Source organism: Homo sapiens, chromosome 3 (assembly GCF_000001405.40).
Source record: "Homo sapiens chromosome 3, GRCh38.p14 Primary Assembly".
Classification (NCBI taxonomy): Eukaryota; Metazoa; Chordata; class Mammalia; order Primates; family Hominidae; genus Homo; species Homo sapiens.
In genome coordinates this window covers 195,608,728-195,632,761 of record NC_000003.12, presented here as the reverse complement: position 1 = coordinate 195,632,761, position 24,034 = coordinate 195,608,728, and the positions used below count along the sequence as shown (strand labels likewise).

General features: G+C 53.5%; 1 pseudogene, besides 4 other annotated features; it reads right to left on the bottom strand.

The window, feature by feature from the left end:
* Positions 3,938 to 4,560: an enhancer, noted in NCBI's record as "H3K4me1 hESC enhancer chr3:195355073-195355695 (GRCh37/hg19 assembly coordinates)". NCBI's record gives its function as "activates a minimal SCP1, AML or CMV promoter by ChIP-STARR-seq in naive H9 embryonic stem cells {active_cell/tissue: H9 hESC(naive)}" and the evidence as "EXISTENCE:reporter gene assay evidence [ECO:0000049][PMID:30033119]".
* Positions 4,561 to 5,185: an enhancer, noted in NCBI's record as "H3K4me1 hESC enhancer chr3:195354448-195355072 (GRCh37/hg19 assembly coordinates)". NCBI's record gives its function as "activates a minimal SCP1, AML or CMV promoter by ChIP-STARR-seq in naive and primed H9 embryonic stem cells {active_cell/tissue: H9 hESC(naive and primed)}" and the evidence as "EXISTENCE:reporter gene assay evidence [ECO:0000049][PMID:30033119]".
* Positions 7,791 to 8,787: an enhancer, noted in NCBI's record as "H3K27ac-H3K4me1 hESC enhancer chr3:195350846-195351842 (GRCh37/hg19 assembly coordinates)". NCBI's record gives its function as "activates a minimal SCP1, AML or CMV promoter by ChIP-STARR-seq in naive H9 embryonic stem cells {active_cell/tissue: H9 hESC(naive)}" and the evidence as "EXISTENCE:reporter gene assay evidence [ECO:0000049][PMID:30033119]".
* Positions 12,525 to 14,137, bottom strand: MUC20P1 (mucin 20, cell surface associated pseudogene 1; annotated as a pseudogene).
* Positions 13,707 to 13,861: a silencer, noted in NCBI's record as "fragment chr3:195345772-195345926 (GRCh37/hg19 assembly coordinates)". NCBI's record gives its function as "represses an EF-1alpha promoter that drives an FKBP-Casp9 reporter gene in an ReSE screen in K562 erythroleukemia cells {active_cell/tissue: K562}" and the evidence as "EXISTENCE:reporter gene assay evidence [ECO:0000049][PMID:32094911]".

The window sequence follows — 24,034 nt, the reverse complement described above, 5'->3', positions numbered from 1 at the left end:
TGCCCCCAGAAGGTTTTTGTAAAGCCCGACTCAGGGCGTGCATGGCCTCTCCCTCTCCCACACATGGGCTCCCCGTCCCCTCCAGCTCAGCAAACACACAGCACATCCAGGAGCCACGTGGGACCGCAGTGTCCCATGGCCGGTCCCCCAGATCCCTTGGATGTCTCACTCTGGTGAGCCCCTCGCTCCAGTGCCCTCCAGGAAGCCCCCGTCTCCCCATACAGAAGGGATCTCTTCCCTCCTGAGCCATCGGTGCCCGACCCTCCCTCTCCTCTGTCGCCCCATTTGTGGCAGGTCAGCCACACCCGTGAGCCCCGGAGCTCTGTGAAGGCCGTCACGGCTCCTTATGACGGCGCCCAAACAGTGCAGGCAGCCGGAAGCTGTTCCCTGATGAAAGAAAGGAAGAGGAAAGGAGGAGGGAGGGAAGAAGGCCTTTTCTTGTCCCGAGAGACTTCTGTAGGAATTTTTGGGTGATACTGAGCATGGTAGACCCAGGTCATCTTTCCACGAGAGGGGCCAGAGTACCGCAGGCTCAGCCGCGGTCAGGGGCTCAGGGCGCCGGGGAAGCATTCGCGTGGGCTGCCCCCACGGGCCGCCTTTGCCACCAAGACCCACTCTTCCAGCCAGGCCTTGGGCCGGCCCTGCTTTCCCTTCGGACAAGGTCTTCAGTCCACCGAGAGGATGGCCCACCTCCTGCCCCTGGGTCAGTGCGCAGCCCCAGGGAGGAGCTGTGTGAACCTGGGAGGTGCTGGGGAGCAAGGGTGCTCCACCAAGGGAGGCAGGAGGCCGGAGACCAGCCCGGCCCAGGAGGAGCCTGGCCAGGAGTCCCACCAAAGCCACTGGACCCGGGGAGCCTCCAGTGACCCAGCCTTGTAGGGTCAGCACTGTCCCTAGGACAGAGTCTGCTTCGTACACAGGTCTCGCTGTCTGTGGAGGCTTCAGGCCCCGATGCCTGGGCACACGGACTGACGGCAACCCTCGGGGTGGGAGGCCCCAGATGGGACTTCCTGGCCTGCCCGGGGTGGCGGGGGGGCGGGTGGGAGAGGACGGAGCGTCTGTGTGCATGTGTGAGAGCCTCAAGGACGGCATGTCTGTGAAGATGGCTTCACCCAGCCGCGGCTGCCTTCCGTGTGTGGGCAGCGGTGACGGAGCCGTGACCTCACGGGACAGCCTTTGCCGTGTGGTTTTCCCGCCTCTGGTCCCTTTCCTGGGCTGAGGATCCTGGCTCTGGGGCTCAAGGTGTGGGGTTCGCCAGCACCGGCTCCTGCCATAGACATCCTGGTGGCCCTGGCACAGGCCTGTCCTCCAGCATGGTTCCTAGACCCACCACGCAGGACTCCTAGGCCCCTGAGGGTTGGCAGGAGTGAGGCAGGCAGTCACCAACTGCCCTTGGGTGAGGCTGGTGGCCAGGGGGGGACCCAGCAGGTGCAAGCCAGGCCATCCCCAGCAGCCGCCGGAGCCCATGTCTTTCCCACCGCACAGCACAGCCAGGACATGGGGGTCAGGCCATTACTTACGCTTCTAGTCCTTACATCACCCACAACTTACCCCTGACCTGTGCCTGGCTGTGGTGCCCGCAGCCTGGGCTCCACATAAACACAGGCCAAGAAGTCCCATCTGCAGCCTCCCACCGCAAAGGTTTCCGGCAGTCCGGGCTCCCCAGGCACCGGCTCTGCAGCCCCCACAGACAGAGAGACCCCTGTGTGAAGTCCGGGCTCCTCAGGCACTGGCCCTGCAGCCCCCACAGACAGAGAGACCTGTGTGTGAAGAATCCGTTTGAGGGACAGTGCTGACCCTCCAGGGCTGGGTCACGGAGGCTCCAGTGGCTTTGGTGGGACTCCTGGCCAGGCTCCTCCTGGACTGGGCCTGGGCTGGTCTCCGGCCTCCTGCCTCCCTTGGTGCAGGATCCTTGCTCCCCAGCTTCCCTGGGAAATCCGACGCCTTCTGATCCTGCATGCATCCGGCACCCCTGACGCTGGCGGAGTTGCCTTTCTGCGTGTATAGCTCCTAACAGGGCAGCACAGCTGTTCTGAAACCTCACACATCATCACTGGGGTGGCTGAGGCTGGGCCACCTGGTGTTCACCTCCTGACCCTGGAACTGTGCAGAGAACCTCTCTTCAAATAGGAGGCAGGTCTTTGTGGCTGTGTTTAAGTTAAAGATCTTGAGATAAGGAGGTCATTCTGGATTAACTCGTTGGCCCTACATGCACGGCAAGTGTCCTTACACAGAGGCAGAGGGAGGTTAGACGCAGACAGAGGAGGAGGTCGCCTGGAGACCGAGGCAGAGGTGCAGCATTGTGGCCGCGGCCCAGGGACGCCTGGAGCCACAGAAGCTGGTGGAGGTGGCAGGGTCCTCCCCTGGAGCCTCTGGAGGGAGCACGGCCCATGGACTCGATTTCAGACCCCTCCCTGCTGAGCGGGGAGAGAATGAGTCCCTGTTGTTTTGAGCTGCCGAGACTGTGGGGATCTGCCATGGCAGCTCCAGGACCCTCAGACCTTCGGCTCAGAGCCCCTCTAGCACTGAGCAAGACGACCACTCAGGGCCGCCCCTCCCCGCCCAGCCAGCATGTGCCTCGCTGCTCACCCGACCACGCAGCCCTCAGTTACAGATGCCTGCCCGGGATACGTGGGACGAGGGCTGCGGCTTCCCTGGGGACGGGGTGCGTGGAGCCTGCCTGCAGCCGTGTTCCTGTTTACGTGCTGAGTGAAGCTGGACCTGGGTGGGATGGGGCATTCTGCCCAAGGGTCTCTTGGGGGGTCCATGAGGACTGTGTTCTGACGATACTGCCCTCCTTCCTGAGGCTGCCGTGGGGCTCCATGGAGGCCATGGGGTGGTGAGGATGGAAGAACACCTAGGCTGGGCTCCTGGGACCCCAGCAGCAGCTGAAGGCACTTGGAGCACCACAATTCCCACCCACGGGCCAGGCAAGCCCAGAACCGTCCCCAAAGAAGGGAGCAAGGAGACACGGCCTTTTAGTGATAATATCATAACCAAAAAGTTCTTTAACATTTTTTCATTTTTTTCTGTCACTCAATATTTTTAAAATTATATGTCCATTTTTTTTATTATTTCACCCATCTAATCATTGCCATCTATACCAAACAAAAAAATCTATGCACCGGTGTTCACAAAGCATTTAAGATGCCTGTGAAATGTAATAAGAACTAACTGCAGCTGCACAATATTCCCTCGTATGTATGTTATCACCATGCTGACGCTGGGCACTCAGAGCATTTAAAGGTTTTTATTATAATGAATTCTGCAATGAACATCTTTCTATATAAATTTTTGTGAGTACTTTGCATTATTTCCTAAAATAAATTAGAAGAAGGAATGATGAATCGGAGAATGTAAACACTTGGAGCTTTTGAAACACACAGTTTTTATAAATTAGAGTCTGTAGTTTTAATTCAGGGAGATTGTTGTGTCTCAGAAGATATTTCATGGTGAAGTCTCACCTGACGGCACTTCCTCGTCCTCTGCAGAGCCGTGTGTCTAGGGCCCGGGGTGCGGAACGGGCAGTTCTTCAACACAGTGAGCGGCAGCGGGCGTCCCGAAGGTTCTCAGGCCTTGTCTCCGTGGAGGGCATTTTGTGGCCTCTCCCAGGGCAGCCGGCAGGAGCCAGGCGAGAACAGATGCGTCTGTAGCAGGAGGGCGTTGATGCCTCTGAGGTTGTAGCGAGGTTGGTATTTACCTTTTCCTCCTGGTCCATTCTGAAGCTCCAAAGAACGGTCAGTTTAATACAGAGACACAATTACAGCAAGCATCTAGTGTGAGGCGAGTCACGCATTTTGGCTAGAATTACTCAGGGCGTTGGAAAATCACAAACCTTTTCAAGTAACTTGCAAATTGCTAGCATTCTCTCTGCAAGACAAGAGATGCTGTCTGTGCCCTGACCCCTGACTCCACACCCCAGCTTGTTCTGCCCCTTTCTGATTGTTCTAAGTAACTGACATACTTAGAACAGTTTAGGGCCACGTCGTGGCCTTTCGAGGCCGGCGTGCTGTGATATTTTCCTACAGAGCGCGGTCACTTCCAGAGGCGAGAGAGGCACAGAATTCTATTCTGAGAATCCCTGGGACACACGCAGCGGTGGCTGTGAGTATGAGGGCAGATGCTGCGGAACAGCCTGGAAAGGATGCGGGGTCCGTGGCCCCTGGCAGTGCCCGGAGCTGAGCAGCCACCTTCCTGGAGGAGAAGCCCTGCGCCAGATGCCTGAGAATGACACACGCAGGCCCAGCTGTTCTTCAGAGATACAGAGCGACCCACCGTCTGCTTTGCTGGGACTGTCCAGTGTTCGCAGGGAAAGTCCTGCATCCGGCACGCTGGGGCGGTGGCTGCACCAGCTGAGAACCAGTCTCTGATTTTCGGGGTGAGAAAAGTAGAGGTGGGTGCTCTGCCTGAATGCTCACCAGCTCAGCGGTGCAGCTGAGCAGTGGACATCAGTCAGACATCTCTGTGAAGTGTTAGCGGGAAAAGTGTCATGGAACCATTAGCAGCCGCTTGAGGTTAGGCCCAAACCAGTGGGGCCCACCGCATCCAAACACTTGGGGCCACCTGCCGTCATCGGGGGTGGTCCTCCTTTCTTCTGAGCGGGGATTCTCTTCCTGCCGGGAGGGAGCAGTTTGGCTACAAAGCTGCCTTTGAGAACGAGACCCCGTCTCCCCTCCCTGCGTTCCCAGGACTTTGTGAAGAAGAGAAAGTGAGTGGCTCTTCCTTTCTCCTGGATCTCGGCTGTGGGGCTGCCCGCCGCCCTCCTCCTCCCACCCTAGGCTACCTGACCCGTGGAGGCCGGCCTGAGACAGACGCATCTCCGAACACCAAGTGCCCCGTCTTCTAGGCCATTCCAGGGACGGATGAGTCAACATGGGCTTCTTATCCTAATGTTTTAATTTGGAACTCCGCTATTGATCTGATGTTTACAAAGGAACCCACGCGTGACATTAAACTGTCAAAAGAGAAGCCTGCACCCTGCGAGAATTCCTGCCTGAGATACTGTCTTTTTGTGAGTGTAAGTGCAGAGAGAGCCCACGCAAACCGCAGGACACCAGAGCCACCGCCCTGCCCCTCCAGGCTGCCGGCACTCAGGCTCACCCTCTCTGGAGGAGCCATCATTCTGGCCTCAGATTCTCCTTCCAAAACACTGCAAACAGAATGTCAGGCAAAGAAAGAAAGAGCCAGGCACACATGGAGAGATGGCAATGTGAGTATAAGCGGTGAGAAACCCAGCAAATGAAAACGTCTACACGAGAATGCAGACGCAGCACCCTCAGACGCCGGCTGCAGAGAGCGCTGGAGACATTGTCCATGAGAAGAAAAAGAGAAGGTCAAGAACTTCAGTGGAGAAATAAAAATTACACAAAAAGGAAAGATTTGTTTTTTTTTCTTTGCTGATTGTATTCTTCCTATTCTCCCTCCACTTTCTTTCTAGAACTCCAACTTTTCTCATTGCGTTCTCTATTTTCCCATTGCAGTCTCTATTTCCATGCCTATTTGTAAATGCAATACAAAAATGATTGCCTGGAAAAAATACAAGCGATGTTTCAGAACTCAGTAAGTGGGTTTAAAAACAGTTTAGATATCACTGAACAATAATGAATAACTAGAAAGTAGGTCAGAAGAAGATTCTCAGAATGAAGGACAGAAGCATAAGGAGGAAAATAGAGAGAGCAAGTGTGAGGGACTGAACCGCGTCCTCCCAGAATGCCCATGCGGAAGCCTGGCTTAGTTCTGGCTGCCATAACAAAATGCCATAGACTGGGGGCTCAGAAACAACAATGCATTTCTCACAGCTTTGAAGACTGGGGAGTCTCAGATCAAGGTACCGGCAGATTCCGTGTGTGGTGAGGACCGGCTTCCCTGGTGTGTCACTGCGTCCTCACATGGGGGATGGGGGAGGGGCGCTCTGGGGCCTCTTTTATGAGGACACCGATCCCATGATCAGCGGTCCACCTTCAGGACCCCGTCCCTACCACAGGCCCCATCTCCTAACACCATCGCCTTGGGGGTGAGGATTTCAACAGATGAATTTCGGGGAACACGGACATTCAAACCCTCACAAAGCCCCACCCACCAAGGAGAGTCTGTCTGGAGAGAAGACATTAGGGAGGTAATTAAGGTGAAGTGCAGCCAGCAGGGTGGGGCCCTGATCCGATAGGACTGGAGTCCTTATGAGAAGAGGAAGAGACACCAGATTGCGTGCGTGTGTGTGCATGTGTGCGTGTGTGTGCACGTGTGTGTGCGCGTGTGTGCATGTGTGTGCACGTGTGTGCGCGTGCACATGCGTGTGCACAGAGAAAAGGCCTTGTGCACACAGGGAGCAGGTGGCCCTCCACAAGCCAGGAAGAGAGGCCTCACTAGACTAACCCTGTCCCTGTGTTGATCTTGAACTTGCAGCCACCAGGGTTGTGGAGCCCCTGGTCTGTGGTGCTGGCTTATGGCAGCCCTACTGCCCCAGTGAGATGGGAAGAGACAGCAGACACAATGAGAAGACACCACACGTGAGTAACTGGAGTTCTGGGAAGGAGAGAAAGAATAGGCAAAATCAGTATTTAAAGTGGTAATGGCTTAAAATGTTCCCAAACTAACGCAAGCCACCCCGGCCCCGGTGGGCTGCTTCTGACCCTGTGACCCGGGGCTGTCACCGCAGGAGCCTCCCTGGCCGCCTGGCTATTTGCTGTCACCACGGCAGGCCTGCTGTGGCTGCCTCCCCTCTGCAGATGCCACCGGGTGCCCTGGGGAGCGGCAGGCACTTCCTTTCCCGCACTCAAGATGCCCACATTTTGAAAACCCGAGGGGGCACATTGGATTCTCCAACTACACACTTTCAAAAGCCAAATGGAATCAACCTGGGTGCCTATCAATGGATGAATGGATACAGAACACGTGGTATCTTACGCAATGGAATACTCCGCAGCCATAAACAAGAATGAAATCATGTCGTTTACAACAACATGGATGGAATTGAAGGCTGTCATGTTAAGGGAAGTAAGCCGGGGTAGAAAGACAAATGTACCATGTTCTCACTCATTTGTGGGCACTGAAAGAGTGGCTCTTACAGAGGCAGAGAGTTGGCTGGTGGTTCCCAGAGGCTAGGCAGGGTGTGTGGGTGAGAGGCAGACAGAAAGTGAGGCTGGTTATGGGGCACAAACATGCAGTCAGGTGAAGGAGTAAGTTCCAGTGTTCCATAGTACAGTTCACAGACCAAAGGCAACAATCAGTTACTGTGTATTTCTGCCTCCTCCTCCCCGGGAAGCGGCTGGCCAGTGCATCAGGGAACACAGGTCTCTTTCCTCTGTCTTCCTCCATCAGGCTCCGGAAAGCTTTCCCCAGAGAAGACGCCAGACAGCAGGGGCTGCCTCCCGGGGCTTTTGTGACCCAGCCTGTTTCTCCATCCGAGCTGCAACCTCTGGGTGGGGGTGTCTGCACCTGGGGTGTGTGAGAGAGAGTGAGTGAGGGAGCGTGCCTGTGCCTGTGTGCGTGCATCTGTGTTCCTGCGGGCTGTGCCTCTCTGTGCACGTGTGTGCAGCCATGCGTGCGTGTTCACACGTGTGGAGTGTGTGCGTGCGTCCGTGCCTGGGTGTTGCGGGTGGTGAGGCTGGCAGAGCGTCCTGACCCCTCGGGCCCCAGGCCTTGTCCCTCTTCTCCGTGTCCCAATCTTCCTTCAACCGCCCGCCCCGCCCCTGCCTTTGGTGGCCTGGAGTCCCCACCGGCTCTGGGTACTAGGGCGCCGGGCAGCGCGGGAACTAACGGGCTGAGTCTGTGGGGTCGGGATGACTGAAAACATGCCCTGTCTTCGGTTTAGGCTCAGGCGGAAACCCCCCGGGGGCCTCTGGGGGCTGCGGTCGGTGCCAGGGGTCCCGGGCAGCTGCCTGAACGCGCACAGCGGCTCCTGCCCCGCAGCCTCCGCCCCGCGCCCGCGTCCTCGGGCCGGCAGCGCCCCCTGGTGCCGCCTCGGGTCTGTGCAGGGCCGGGCGGGCTGCGCGGAGCACCTGCAGGCGCCTCCATGGGTGACGGAAGACAGAGGGGCTGACCAGGTCTTCTACAGGTCAGTGGGCGATCAACAGCTGGACGCGTAGCAGGGGGCAGCCAGGTGGCCTAAGAGAATTCAGCAAGGCCGACTGCAGGCCGAGAGTCACCGGGAACTCACCTGGAAGGAGTGGATGTGGCCGCCCCAGGACCACCCTGTTCCAGGTGCCCGGCCCCGGCCGTGGAGCCCTTGGACGTATCTGTTTCTTTAGCTGCAGCGAGCGGGGTCCCGGTGCTGAGCAGAAGACCCTGTGCTGCGGTCCCTGTGCTCCCTGGCAGCTGTGCGAGGAACTCTGACCTTTGGGGCCCCTGGGCACCTACCCTGTTGGTTCCTGCTCTGGGCTGCCGAGGGCTGGGTGCTGTGCTGTGTAAAAGGCCGTATGGACGGGGCTTCTGTGTCCCCTGAGTCAGGCACTGCACCCTTATGCTCCCCTCAGGGGCCACACCACCTGCAGTGGTCCCTGGAGAGCAGAGGAAAGGTCCCCCTGGGCCAGATGGGGGCAACTGGTGGGCATCCTGCCCACCGACTGGTTGGGGGGCCTGGCTCTGCAGGAACGGAGGGGGGGCGGGCCAGGGGCTTTCCCTCCAGGTGTGGTAACAGATCAAAGAACATCTACCCCAAACCAGACCGGACTCAGCACACACCTTACCCAGGGCTCCAAAGACACCAGAATGGGGAGTAGAGAGGGAAAGAGACCAACAGAGACAGAGAGAGGGAGAGATTCAGAGCAAGGCGGGGTGGGGTGCGGAGGAGAGGAGGAGAGACCCCGGCCCTTCTCACCTCACAGACCGCTCGGGCTAACTTGGCCCCACCCCCACCATCCACCCTCCAACCCCACCCCCACCCGCCCCCAGGGCTGAGCAGAGACCTCTGGGACATGGTCACGCACACACAGAACCTGTCCCAGAAGGCAGGACCCCGTCCCTGCCCCAGCTTCTGGCTGGCAGGGCTGTGTCAATGACTTCTGGCCAAGCAACCCCAGGAAATGGCATTCCGTGGGGTCAGGTGGCTCCTCAGTGCCTTTTCCTGGCTTTTCATGTAAAATCATGGCAGGCAGCATCGGGAAGTGTCCCACACCTCTACAAGCTCAGGGGGTGGCCACCTTTACCCACAGAGCCAAAACGTGGGCGCAGGCTCCCCTCTGCAGTGGATGCGCTGAGGGCACACCCAGGCCCCGGCCCCCTCAGCGGCATCAGAGCAGCACACAGGGCCCGGTGAGGGTGGCCTCCACCCCTCCACCACACCAGGCATGGCTCGGAGCCAGGCCGGAGGGAGGGCGTCAGCTCTGCAATGCATCCAGTAGTTTCCACCCTTGGCTGTGAAGAGCGGCGTTTCCTGACAGAAGTTTCTAGCACATGTATGCTGGCGAGGATGCGGTCGTCTACTTGCTGGGCACACACTGTGCCAGGCTGAGTGGAGGCCCCCAAAGATGTGCAGCCCCGCAAACCTGTGAGTGCCGCCTCAGATGGCAACATGATGACAGGTCTGGAGCGGGGAGAGTCTCCCGGGTCACCCACCTGCACCCTGTGCTGGGCCAGGTAGTGCCCCCCACCCCACCAAGATTCACATCCCTTCTCCGGGGAAGACGTGCGCGATGTGACAGCCCGTGAGTCCGTCCATTCCGGGGACACTATGGGGGTCACTGCGGGGGGCGGGCAAACAGAGGTGCTTCAGCCCACACAAACAAGCTAATTGAGTTTTTCTGTTTGTTTGGTTTTGAGCGAAAACGTGAACATTTTGTCCAGCTGCTTTTTAGATTCAAGAGCAGGAGCAGCCAGCGCTGCTGAGGCAGTCACACGTATACAGCTTCACGGAGCAAGCACCCAGCCAGGGCCTTGCTGACTGTGGCTGCTAATAAAACAGCAGCAATTTAGTTTCATAAAATTGCTAATAGTTTTCTTAAAATGCCATTGCACTTAAGCATACACAGGGACACCCCCATCGTCTCTGCTCTCCAGTGGGAGGATATGAAGCTGGAGACTGGAGACTGGCCAGGGACAGAGGCAACTACTCCCTGAAATGATGTCACCCTGTGCAAGCACCTTCCCCAGGCCAGGCCAGGCCTCAACACCCCCCAGCACCTTCCCCAGGCCAGGCCAGGCCTCAACACCCCCAAGCACCTTCCCCAGGCCAGGCCAGGCCTCAACGCCCCCAAGCACCTTCCCCAGTCCAGGCCAGGCCTCAACGCCCCCAAGCACCTTCCCCAGGCCAGGCCAGGCCTCAACACCCTCCAAGCACCTTCCCCAGGCCAGGCCTCAACACCCCCAAGCACCTTCCCCAGGCCAGGCCTCAACACCCTCCAAGCACCTTCCCCAGGCCAGGCCTCAACACCCCCCAGCACCTTCCCCAGGCCAGGCCTCAACACCCTCCAAGCACCTTCCCCAGGCCAGGCCTCAACACCCCCAAGCACCTTCCCCAGGCCAGGCCTCAACACCCTCCAAGCACCTTCCCCAGGCCAGGCCTCAGCACCCCCATCTGAAAATGAGATGGGATTTCTGAGCCCCCTTTCAGTGCTGACAGCCCCCGGTTCTCCCGGAACAGGAATAAGTTGGCAAGCTTGTCAGAGAAACAAAGGAATAACGCAACGCATCCTATTTTCTGTATAGGGCAGGGCAGTGGCCACACCCCAAACACAACAGGAACTGCTGTTTTACTTGGGTCTGGGACCAAGCAAGAGCTTCTCCCAGAATCCAGGCTAAGCCCGCTCTCTCCCGGAGCAGGGGGTGAAATCCCTCAGAACTACTGTATGTTGGGGAGTTGGGGTAGGAGGCGCAGGGAGGCAAGCCCTGACTATGCAATTAAGGAAAACCTATAATTTTTATTATACAAGCATCGTACGTTTATTGCAGAAACTTTAGGAAACACAAACTTAACAAAAAGAAAAGAGGAAAAAATCCCTGTAATCCCAATCCCCAGAGAGACAACAATATTTCGTACATATCCTTCTGAACTTTCTTTCATGCCTAGGAACCTTCACACATTGATTTTTTATTGAAGGATCAAATCATTCCTAATGTTGGATAACCTCCTCATTAAACAGTTGTGAACAGGTTGTCTCATATATTGTGTCCACATTCCCATTTGACATATTATAATGGTATGTTTGAATATAGTGTCATATTTTAAAATACATTATAATAATCATTACCATTGTTTGAGTGCTTACTGTGTGTCCGGCACTGTACTGAGTACTGTGGACACATTATCTCATTTAAATCTCACAGCAGCATAAGTGCTATTATGATCATTTCCTTTTAAAGATAAGGAAACTGAAGCTGAAAGAGTGAAGGAATGTTCCCTGAATTACACATCTAGTCACTAGCAGAGTTTCAGTTTCCACCCAAGTCTGGCCACCTTCAAAGCATGTGCTCTTCAGGAAAGCATTTTCCATAGGAACCTTTTTCCACAGGAACCTTTTTCCACAGGAACCTTTTTCCTTAGGAAACTTTTTCCATAGGAAGCACCATCCCTTGGTAAAGATGTGCAGTAGTTTATTTAACCAGACCCTACTTCTGAAACGTTACTATTATCCACCACGCTGATCTGAACGTCCAGGGGCATATGTATCTGTGCACTTCTCTAATTATTTATTATTTAATTATTTAATAATTATAATTAAAGGAGGAGAGCAAAAGAGTTACCCCAAGATGGAGTGCCCCAGACTCTCTCCCAGGACTCCTCCCTGCCTGCCTGTCCATCAGTTTCACAAAAGTCGTAAAAGGATCAATGCACAGTGTGTTTACCTGTCTGGTGGCTGTCCTCACCGCCTGCGTTTCATGGAAGAGCGATTAAACCATTTCAGCTCCCTTTCCAGGAACCAACTCAAGAAACATGCCACCACCCCACCCTTAGATCTGGAGGGCCCGACCCCTCATATACCCTCTCTGTCCTTTCCCGGACCCCAGATGGAGTCTTCTGAGGTTCTCCATCCCACAGCCCTTCACCTCTATCCTGCCTCCACTTGCCCCAGCAACCTGATCAGCTTCCACAGAATCCCAGGAAATGCATCCAGCAGGCCCCACTTTCATGGGGTCCAAGCCCATCAGAGAGCAGCAGTTTGGGCCTGATGCCTGCCTGCTGCTCCTCTGTGTGGCTATGGCTGGAACAGAAGCTTCCAGAGCTGCTCAACAGTGCACTTCACAGAAGGTCAGAGCTGGACAGGACTTCAGTGCCCATTCCAACCCTCTCCAAATACAGGTGGAGAAACTGAGGCCCAGAGAGGGACAGGGACTTGCCCAAGGTCACTCGGGTTGTTACAGGCAGAGCCAAGACCGCAAACCATTTCTCCGGACTTCCATCCCCACCCCTTTCCATACACAACCCTCCATCTGCCTTTTCCTGATTTCGCCAAGAACCACTAGAAGATCACGAAGAGGCAACAGCAGGAGCAGGCTGTGAGTAGGCTCCAGATCCTTCCCTCCTCTCCACTCCTCAAGTGCGGAGACGTCCTGGAAACTCCGCATCCCAAATCCCCGAAGATCACCAGCAGGAGCCACTTACCTGCACTCATGTCTGTGGTCGGCCTCGTCCGAGCAGTGGTGGGCGTGGCTGTTGGGGGCTTCATCGTGGTCTTCGCTGAGGTTGTGGTCTTGGCTAAGATGCTGTTCGTCCTTCAGCTGCTGTTGGTTGTAGTCGGAGGGACAGAAGGAAGAGGGGCCCTGCTGGTGGGGAAGGGCCCCTTGGTTGCGATGTCCGTGGTCAGTGTCTCTGAAGGGGTGAAGTTCTTGAGGGCGGCTTCCAAGGGGCTGTAGGAGGAAGCAGAGCTCCCAGCAAAGGAAGTTGTTTTGCCCACTGCTGACCCAGCCTCTATGGAGACCGGAGCTGCTCCTGAGACTTTGACGTAACTTGGTGTCTCAACAGAGAGGGCTGAGGTTTCTTCCAGGGGATTCCCTGTGGCCAGAGCTCCACTGAGGGTCGTGGCCCCGGGTGCTGTCACTTCTCTTTCTATGGTGCTGTTGGTGGGGAGTGGGGTCCCAATCGTGGCATCAGGTGCAGCTGACTCTGTGGTGCCGGCTGTGGACAGGGTCTCGGCAGAGGCTGTGACCTCAGTGATGTGTGGTTTTGTGTTAGTGGAGTCAGGCAGAGCTGGTGGATCGGAGGTGGACGAGGCCTTCACCCCTTCCGTGGGGATGAGATCTGTGTCTGAGGCCCCAGGGATGCTGGAAGTCGTTGTTTCTATTTCTGTGATGCTGCAATTAATAACCTCGATGTTTGTGACAGTCACCAGGGCTTCAGCGAGGAGAGTGACGTCAGATCCCGGGGACCATGAGGGGGTGATGACTGGATGGGGGCCGTCGGAAGAGGCGCTGCTCTCTGAGGCCCGTGACGGGGTGATGACTGGATGGAGGCCGTCGGAAGAGGCGCTGCTCTCTGAGGCCCGTGACGGGGTGATGACTGGATGGAGGCCGTCGGAAGAGGCGCTGCTCTCTGAGGCCCGTGACGGGGTGATGACTGGATGGGGGCCGTCGGAAGAGGCGCTGCTCTCTGAGGCCCGTGACGGGGTGATGACTGGATGGGGGCCGTCGGAAGAGGCGCTGCTCTCTGAGGCCCGTGACGGGGTGATGACTGGATGGGGGCCGTCGGAAGAGGCGCTGCTCTCTGAGGCCCGTGACGGGGTGATGACTGGATGGGGGCCGTCGGAAGAGGCGCTGCTCTCTGAGGACAGGCCCTTAGCTTCTGTGGAGGTGTGAGCCAATGTCAATATGTCCATTGTGAGTGTCTTTGCCTCTTCAGAGATGTCATCGGTGCAAAGGGTGTCAAAGATGGCTTCCCTGGGATCACTGCCTGTGATGGTCTGAACTGTGGTCATTCCAGCTCCCTCGGGGCTGCCACTGGCGGCTGATGTCTCCACGGAGGTGGCGATCAGCACCATGAAGTTGGGAGATGTTTTTGTGAAACTCCTGGTCTCTCTTGCAGGGGAAATTCTCTTGGCTCCCCTGGTCTCTGCTTCTGGAATGGGGCCGGCTGGGGTTGAGGCCCTAGAAGAGGTCTCAGCGCTCAGCGTTTGAGTTTCCAGAGCGGCGTGGCCCGGTGCTAGAGTCATAGCGGGCACTTCTGTGTCGTCCGTTGTCATCGCAGTGTCTGCTCTGCGGGTGCTGGGGCCTGTGTTGGTTAAGACTGACTTGGTGAGCCTGGGTTCCAGTGGACTTCACACAAGCTATTGCGTTTACACCCTGGGCACTTCTGGGAGGAGGGTGGGGCAGGGGAGTGCCGTTACCTCATTTTTCATCTACATAAGCGAACAAGAAGGAGGCAGTCCTGGGAAGCCCAGGCCTGTGTGGCAGCCATGGAGCTGGGGTTGCCATGACTGGCGTCCTCTGAAACCCTGACAACTCACTTGGGGCCAGCAAGCCCCAGGATCTGCTGGCTATCGGCCTGCGTCTTTAAGAGGGGATGTGTGGGGCCAGCGTCCACCTTCCAGGGTGAGCCAAGAAGGCAGACCAGCGTCCAGGACTCGCAGAGCTTTCTGAACCTCTGTCGCCTTCCCCGGGTACTTTTCTCATCCAACACATAGTTCCCCATGGAAGTAAAAACCCTTAAAAGACGAGAAAGGCCTATGATTGTGCCTTTCGGGGTAGCTGGGTGGATTGAGGCGGGGGAACCTCCAGAGACAGGGTGGGCAGTGCTGCTGCCAAAGCGAGGGAGCCGGCAGAGTCCTTGGGGCTCCGGCAAGGGAAAGACGGCACCCCCCACCCTGCCGAGGCCCCTCCTGAATGAGGGCCGAGAACTGCAGGGTTGGAGCCTGGGAACCATGGAAACCGTGGCCAGGCATTTTCCACAGGACACCGGGAGCCCCTGAGGCAACACCTAGCTTTTCAGAGAGCGGCTGCCGGCACTTCTGCCCAGAGCAGAGGCCTGTTCCCTTGACTGGCCCTGAGGTGGGAGGAATGGGAGTCCCCGAGGGAGGCTACGGTAGGATATCTTCCCTAGAGACAGGGTCTTGCTCTGTTGCCCAGGCAGGTCTTGAATTCCTGGGCTCAAGCGATCCTCCTGCCTCAGCCTCTTGAGTAGTTTACTACAAGATCTTTTCTGGCCTGAGAAAGGGGGCCTCCCCTGTCTAGAGGGAGATCGGGCTCTCCCTGTGAGTGGGCCAAGGAGCCTCTTGGAGAGGGTTTCTAGATTTAGCAAATAAAAATACAGGGTACTCGGTTAAATTTGAACTTGCATTTCAGATAAACGACGAATAACTTTTTAGCATGAGTATTTCTCATGCAATATTGGCTACATACTTACACTTAAAAAAATTGTTACCTGAAATTCAAATGTAACTGGATGCCCTGTGTTTTATCTGGTAATCCCAGTCTTGGAAGGAAAAGGATCAAATACGAACCCCCTAATTCTCTGAGCCTTCTTGGTCCAGCCCACACAGCTGGAAGCCCAAAGGTGGCGCTCTTGGAGTCTGACCTCCCCTGGCACAGGGTTTGAGATGGTCTTTACCCAGCTCCACTGGCCCAAAAGTAGCCCATAGACCCAAAAGGGGCCTAGCACCTCTCCCCAGGGCATCAGGATGGGGCCCCAGGTCCCCAACTGGTTGTCCTGTGGACCTCAGGGAATGACGAGGCAGGAGTCAAGAGCCTCGGTTGCAGCTCCCGCTGTGCTGCCCACGACTGGCTCCGGGGTCAGATGATCTGCTGGTTCAAATCCTGACTCAGCCTCCTACTAGCCAGGCCAGTCTCTAGACCCCTCTCAGCCTCCATGTCCTCACCTGAGAAAACAGGGTCACAATACCTGCCTTGCCAACGTGGTGAGGACCAGCGGAGAAGATGAAAGGGCTTATATTCCAAAGCCCACAAGGTAAGCATCCCTCCACATGGAGTCCTCTCCCAGGCCCCTGGAAAGCACGCATAGTCGATTTGACTATAGTGAGGAGTGCGGGCTGCACCCCCAGGCAGTATAGGCGAGTCCCGGGCACCCAGTCTCATCCCTGGTCCGGTGCGGCCCAGCTGCACACACAAATCTCACTTTTGCAGGAACTGTTCATCTGCCTTCATAATACAGTTTCTTCTCCCCACTTCAAGCCTGAGATCATTTCTCTGAGCCTTCTTGGTCCAGCCCACACAGCTGGAAGCCCAGAGTGGTGCCCTTGGAGCCCGACTTCCCCTGGCACATTTTCTGGCTTATCCAGGAGCCCCGGGGTGTCCTTTCTGCTGTGAAACCTCCTCATGCTCCCCAAGCCCACAGCCTCTCGGGTCCAAGGGGGTCTTCTCGAATACAGCAAATCCCGGCCCAGCCCCTCAGTAGCTCTGGAACACTGCGGCTCTCCTGGTACAATCTTCAAATCTGGTGGAGAGGAAAGCGTGTGGACTTGGGACCCTGAGTTGGAGAATCTGCTCTCTGCCCTGTGACCCTGGCCAAGTCTCTCAGCTCCAAGCCTGCATTTCCGCACCTGTAAGGTGGAGCTAACGGGACACGTGCAGCGCAGACCAGGCCACGGTGAGCACAGGCAGGAGGCCACGGGGTGCAGTGCTCAGGCCTGTGAGGAGTCAGATCCTGGCTCCGAGGAGTTGTTACTGGATGCCCAGAAGCACAGTGGCCTCATCCTCAAAGCAGTGGAGGTGGGGGGTGGTAAGAACAGGGCCGATCTTGCAGGGCCGTTGTGAGGATTAAAAATACAATGTATGATAATGATGCGTCAAAGTAGGTTCCTCAGTCCTAACAAATGTGCCACTCTGGTGGGGGACGCTGATGATGGGGGAGGCTGTGAGTGGTGGGGATGGGAACTCCAGACTCTCCACTGCAGCTTTTTTTTTTTGAAACATAGTTTCACTCCTGTTGCCCAGGCCAGAGCGCCACGGTGCGATCTCAGCTCACTGCAAACTCCACCTCCCAGGTTCAAGCAATTCTCCTGCCTCAGCCTCCCGAGTAGCTGGGATTACAGGCACCTGCTACCACCCCGGCTAATTTTGTATTTTTAGTAGAGACGGGGTTTCTCCATGTTGGTCAGGCTGGTCTCGAACTCCCGACCTCAGGTGATCCACCCATCTCAGCCTCCCAAAATGCTGGGATTACAGGTGTGAGCCACCACACTCGGCCTCTCCACTCGAGGTTTAGAGCGAGCATAGAACTGCTCTAAAAAAAAAAAATAATAAATCCTTTTCTATTTTTTAATGTATGTGATGAGTTTGGCACAACTCCTATTAGCGACAGGTCAGGGTTCATTCCCGTCTTTCACAAAAGCCCTGCCTGTCAGCATCCACCCTTCCCAAGCAGTTTGTGGCAGTTGGACTTTTCACACGAAATCTGTATTTTGAAGGAAATCCATGCTAGGTAATAAACTGGGAGGAGTCAGAATCTTGTTAAGCCACATTCTTCAGCTTTCTGCACAATGATCACCAGCTGGCACCTCCCTGCACCCCCGCTCCGTGCCCCACTTACTGTCCCACGTTCATAAAGACAAACTCTCAGCCACCCCTTATGATGGCAGCGTCATGGTTGATTAGTGTGTACTGCAGCGCCAGGCACGCTTACACTCACACTCATGGTCATGGTTGATTAGTGTGTACTGCAGCGCCATGCACGCTTACACTCACTCACACCGTCATTTGCACACTCTTTATCAACAATAATAGCACTTCACAGGTAGCACTGTGGTTCATTATAATCAACCCGAGAGAGCCTGCCCTTGCCCATGAAGGGTGTCTCATACTGAAATTCACTCCCAGAGCCCTACTAGGGGAGAGGCCCACCAGGCCCTTCTAGGCCTCCTTACCTGCAGAGCTCCTAGAGACCCCACCCTCCCAGCAGAAGAAGAAAAGGGGCAGAGTCAGACCCCAGAGAGCCCATCCTAGCCGGCCACCGCTGCTCCACAGAACTGCTGGCTGTCTCTCGCGGGTACCTTTTCCTGCTACCTCAAACCGGGGAGGAGGGGCAGCCTCCTGCCCAGGTGTGTGACTGAGTAGTTTCCAGGATGTGGCCAAGTGATCACAAATGTGCAGGCTGAGGCTGTCAGCAAGATGACCCCCCTGCCTTCCTTGCCCAGTAAACACTCCACTGAAATTTAATTTGAAGATGTGGAATCAGTAGCTTTTTTTTTTGACATGGAGTCTCTCTCTGTTGCCCAGGCTGGAGTGTACAGTAGTGAGATCTCGGCTCATTGAAACCTCTTCCTCCTGGGATCAAGCAATTCTCCTGCCTCAGCCTCCCGAGTAGCTGGGATTACAGGCGTGTGCCACCATGCCGGGCTAATTTTTGTATTTTTTGTAGAGACGGGGTGTCACCATGTTGGCCAGGCTTGTCTCGAACTCCTGACCTCAGGTGATCTGCCTGCCTCGGCCTCCCAAAGTGCTGGGATTACAGGCGTGAGCCACCATGCCCAGCCAAATCACTTCCTCATCGACCCCTCAGTCTTGTGCTGGGAAGGCCACAGGAGGTCACGTTTCACCATCACCCCCTCCCGTGCCTGGAGCTTGGGCTTTGAGTCAGACCTGGGTTTCATTCCTGGTCCTGGGCATGATTAGCTCTATCACCAAGGGCAAATTTCAGAGCCAGGCTGAACCTTCACTTCCTGCTCTGTAAATGGATAAACCTACCTCGCTGGGCTGTTGTCGTGAGGATCACATGCGACAGTAAAGCTCTTACACAGTGCCTGCTACACAGCTGATGCTTATCAAAAATATATACATCTTAGGTGCTCAGTAAATGAGCGAGAACCCCGACATCCATTCTGATCCTCAAGCGTTGGGGAGAAGAGACGGCTCCCCAGTATGGGACAACTCTAATTGCTAACATCCTTCCATCTTCATCATCCTGTGATTCTGCATCCCAGTCAAAGCCAGGAACATTGGCCAGACCGAAGGCACGGGGCTGGAGAAGAGACTAGCTGGGAAGAGGGAAAAGATGAGTGCACTCATCTGGTCTCAAGGCCTAGGAAGAGAGGACGCGTGAGGGTGATGACTCAGCCAAGCTAGAGATTCAGCCATGAGAAGGGACATGCAGTTACCAAATATATTTCCAAACTCCCTAGAGAAGAATCTTACTCCCTCCATGTGCCACGGACGTGAACTGTTATGGCCACTGGCCAGTGACCAGACAAGGTAGCTTGGGAATTTCAGGGCAGGAGCGCTGATGAAGGCAGCTCTTGGGTAGAAGAAAGCCTGCTGGATCCGCATCAGGGAATCACAACATCTCAGAGCTGGAAAGAACTTTAAATCCAGGCCGGGTGCAGTGGCTCACGCCTGTAACCCCAGCACTTCGGGAGGCCAAAGTGGGTGGATCACTTGAGGCCAGGAGTTCGACACCAGCCTGACCAACATGGCGAAACCCCATCTCTACTAAAAATACAAAAACTAGCCAGGTGTGGTGGCTCATGCCTGTAATCCCAGCACTTCGGGAGGCCAAAGTGGGGGATCACTTGAGGCCAGGAGTTCGACACCAGCCTGACCAACATGGCAAAACCCCATATCTACTAAAAATACAAAAACTAGCCAGGTGTGGTGGTGCACGCCTGTAATCCCAGCTACTCGGGAGGCTGAGGTGGGAGAATTGCTTGAACCTGGGAGGTGAAGGTTGCGGTTAGCTAAGATTGCTCCACTGTACTCCAGCCTGGGCAACAGAGCAAGACTCTGTCTGAAAAAAGAAAAGGAAAAGAAAATCAGAAGGTCCAGGTTCCATTTCCAGCTCTCTCCTTAACACTGACCCAGGAGCTGTGTGAACGTACAAGTTATCTGCCCTCTCTGGGCCTCCATCAACATGATCTACAAGGTCCTTTTGGCCCTGTGGTCTGGGGTTCTGCATTGGGTGTGTGACATTGTCTTCCAGAAATTTACTCTTAACACTGACCAAGAAGCTGTGTGAACATACAAGTTATCTGCCCTCTCTGGGCCTCCGTCAACATGATCTACAGGGTCCTTTTGGCCCCATGGTCTGGGGTTCTGCGTTGGGCGTGACATTGTCTTCCAGAAATTTACTCTGCTCTGGGCTGTGCTGCTGGGAAGAAGGAGGGAATGGGAGGGAATAGGAGGAGGAAGACTCCCCAGAAGAGGCTGAGGGGGGTCCATAGGGGACAAAACCCAGCACTTGGGGTGGGGATCTTGGACACCATTGATCTGTAGGCTGAGCCCCTTCCATCCTCCACTCAGCCCCAGCTCTTTGCTTATCAAATGAGACAAGGACTCCCCCCAGGAGGAGTCAGGTAGGGAGAGGAGGGCAGGGCCACAGCAAGGACTGTATTCTCTTAGACCCCATCTAGTAGCTGCGACCCACTGTGAGGCTTAGCCCAAGGGAAGATGGAGAAGAGACTAAGCACCAATGCAGCTCCTCTCAGCCACCCCAGCCCTCCTCCAGCCCCGCCCCCGCAGGGATAGGGGCTTCCTCATTCCAGCAGCAAGTGAGTCCACCCCAGCCTGTTGCAGATGAGGAAGTGAGGAATCCCTGGAAAGGAAGCCTGGCTGAGAGCTTCCCTGGGTTTGCTGAATTTTGGACCATTTTCCTCGGTATTTGGGAAATTTACAAGCCTGGGCAGATGACTGTTAGCCCTGGGGGCCATAAGAGTCTTATGCAGAAAGTTCCTGGGCCATATTTTAGCCAAACTCAGCTCTCACCTTGAATGAGCGTAGGAGGCTAGTTCATTAATTTAATGCACGTACGGAATTCCTTCTACATGCCAGACATTGCTCCAGGCACTTGGAATACATCACTCAGTAAAAGAGATCCCGGCCTTCACGGAACAACTCTCCTAGTGAAGAGAGACAGCAAACTGTGAACCCCGAATATCTCAGACAGGTCTCAGTTCATTTAGAGAGTTTATTTTGCGAAGTTTGAGGACTCGCGTCCATGACACAGCCTCAGAAGGTCCTGGTGACATGTGCCGAGGTGGTCAGAGCATAGTTTGGTTTTACACGTTTGAGGGAGACATGAGACATCAATCAACATATGTAAGACGAACATTGGTTCAGTCTGGTAAGGTGGGACAACTCAAGCAGGGAGGGGGCTTCCAGGTCACAGGTGGGTGAGAGACAAATGGTTGCATTCTTTTGAGTTTCTGATAAGCCTCTCCAAAGGAGGCAATTAGATATGCATCTATCTCAGTAAGCAGAGGGGTGACTTTGAATAGAACGGGAGACAGGTTTGCCCTAAGCCGTTCCCAGCTTGACTTTTCTCTTTAGCTTCATGATTTTGGGGGGCCCAAGACAGTTTCCTTTCACATTTCCCCCTTTTCTTTTTAAAAATCTTTTGGAGAAAGCATTTTAGAAGAAAATGAGTCTCTGGTCTGAGGTTTCATCGGGTCTCTCATGGCTAGGATGGTTTATTCCTAGATAGGTAGGTCCCAATAGCTACCCTAGATAGGTAGCTCATTATTAGCAGGTTGAGAATCCTCATGTCCTGTGAAGAGAAAATAGGGGGAGGAAGGGAGAAAAACAACAAACAAAATAACGATCCTAGAAAATCGATATAGGCCACATTACTCTGAAGTCCATACGTCAGTAGGCAGGTATGAAAGTAGCTTATATATGTAAATAGGCTGCTGTTATTTTCTTCTGAAGTTTAAGTTGTCTAGCTTCAGTTCACAGGGCTTCAAAAAGCACAGCTTAGCTTTCAGTAACTCCAAATTAGGAAAAATGGGAAAAAAGAAAGGGAAAAAATGGAAAACATTATTTTGAAGACTTGTAGCCAAGAAAAATTAGAATTTGGTCCAAACTGCAGAAAATAATAAAAATGGAAAAACATTAGGCAAGACTAGAATCTAACAACAGGTGTACTATAGTTCTTAAAACATAGTTTTTCTCTCTCCAGTTTCTCATTTTTACTAAAGACAAATCATGGTAGGACTGATTTCCTTTATTATTCTTGGCCTGATTATTTGTATACAGTGCAGCTAGAATAATTATTTTTTTACACAGGCTTTTAAATTGGCTTTGATGAAACTTTGTTCCATAGAAGGAATCTCAGAAAAGACTTGTTTAAAGCTGAGCCCTGCCATGGATTTGTACCATCAAATACCTATGAGTTGCATGAATTCCTCTCCTTTTGAGGGTCCAAGGTAAAACTTGGGGCTCCTGGGCCTGTCGGAAAGTGACATTCTTTACTTACCACAGGGCAGGAACCCTGTTCAGCGACTGTGTAGACAGAGCATGTGGCTTTTACTGGCTCCATAAAACAAGTTTAATTCCTTAAAGGAAAGCACATCATTCTAGTCAAAGTGCTGGTAAAATAACCAGTTTCTCCAATTGTGTCCTGTTACAAATAAAGACAGATTATTATTGCACTTATGCAAATAACTATATTGTGATAAGGATACTCACAAACAGTTGCCAAATTCTGGAGAAATCAGGTAGAGAGAAATGAATATGCTCCAAATTTTGTTCATAGGAGTACAATAACTTGTTAAAAGCTGTCAATAGCTCAAAAGAAAAGTTTCCTTGACTCTGAAAAAACAAAACAAAAGATCAACAACGTTTTAAGCAAAAAGTCAAAAAGATTACTTCAGTCCATGCAGTTAATTCCTGTTCTGCTTGATATTCATGAACATTTCAGCTCTCCATGAGTCCCGAAAGTTTTTCCTCTATTCTAATGTCACAATCTCCAAAGTTAGCAGAAACCTGCATTCAAGAGCACCTTTTAGAGTTTTATAGCTGATTATAAAACCACCTTCTTTTTTTTTTTTTTGAGACAGAGTCTCACTCTGTTGCACAGGCTGGAGTGCAGTGGTATGATCTCAGTGCACTGCAACCTCTGCCACCTGGGTTCAAATGATTCTCCTGCCTCAGCCTACCAAGTAGCTGGGATTACAGGTATGTGCCACCATACCACACCATTATGTATATTGCTTGTGTACAATGCCCACTGTCTGGCTGATGGGATCACTCATACCACAAACCTCAGCATCACGCAATATACCCATATAGCAAGCCTGCACATATACCACCTGAATCTAAAATAAAAGTTAAAGATATTTTTTAAAAAATTATATAAATAAATAAATAAAATTGCTAAAAGAGTGGTAGATGCCTGTAATCCCAGCTACTCAGGAGGCTGAGGCAAGAGAATCACTTGAACCCAGCAAGTAGTGGTGAGCCAAGATCACGCCATTGCGCTCCAGCCTGGGCAACAGAGTAAGACGCCACCTCAAAAAAAAAGAAAAAAGAAAAGAAAAAGAAAAGAGTAGATGTTAAATGTTCTCACAACAACAAAAAATGATAAGTACGTAAGATTCTTAACCACAGTTGATGTACCTCACAGGAAGAGCTTCTCTTTCAAGATGTGTAACTGCCCCATGGGTTCTTCCTGCCCACTGCACAAAAAAAATCAGTTCATGGAGACCATGGCATTGCGGTAAAGAAAGAGGTTAATTGATATGATGCCAGCCACATCATGTGGGAGGCAGAGTTATTACTCAAATCAAACTCATCTAAGTCTTGGAGGTTAGGGATTTTTCAAAGGTAATTTGGTAGGTAGTGGGCTAGGGTATGGGGAGTGCTGATTGGGTCAGAGATGAAATCATAGGGCGTCAAAGCTGTCCTCTTTCTCTGAGTTGCTTCTGGGTGGGGAAACAGAAGCCACTAGCTGGTCCCGGTGGAGCCATCGGTCATCAGACATGCAAAAAATCCTGAGAAGATATCTCAGAAGGCCAATCCTAGGTTCTACAAAAGTAACATTATCTGCAGGGGTAACTGAGGAAGTTGCATATCTTGTGGCTTCTGGAATAATGCCTCACAGTTGTTTATGTCTACACCTTAGCAGAATTTAGGTTCATCTCCTCCTCCTAGCCTGGTGGTCTCTCAGTGTTACAAGGCTGGTTGAGTTTGAGGGAAGGGTTACTATCATTTAAACTATAAACTAAATGACTCCCACATGTAGCTTGGCTTAAACCCAGGAATAATTAAAAGCAGCTTGAAGGCTAAAGGCAAGAGGGAGGTTGGCCAGGTCAGATCTCTTTCACTGCCATTTTTTTCTCACTGTGATAATTTTTGCAAAGGCAGTTTCAGATGTGATTGGATTTTTGGATACTGTGAATGCTGAATATCTGAGACTGGTCTCAGTTAATTTAGAAAGTTTATTTTGCCA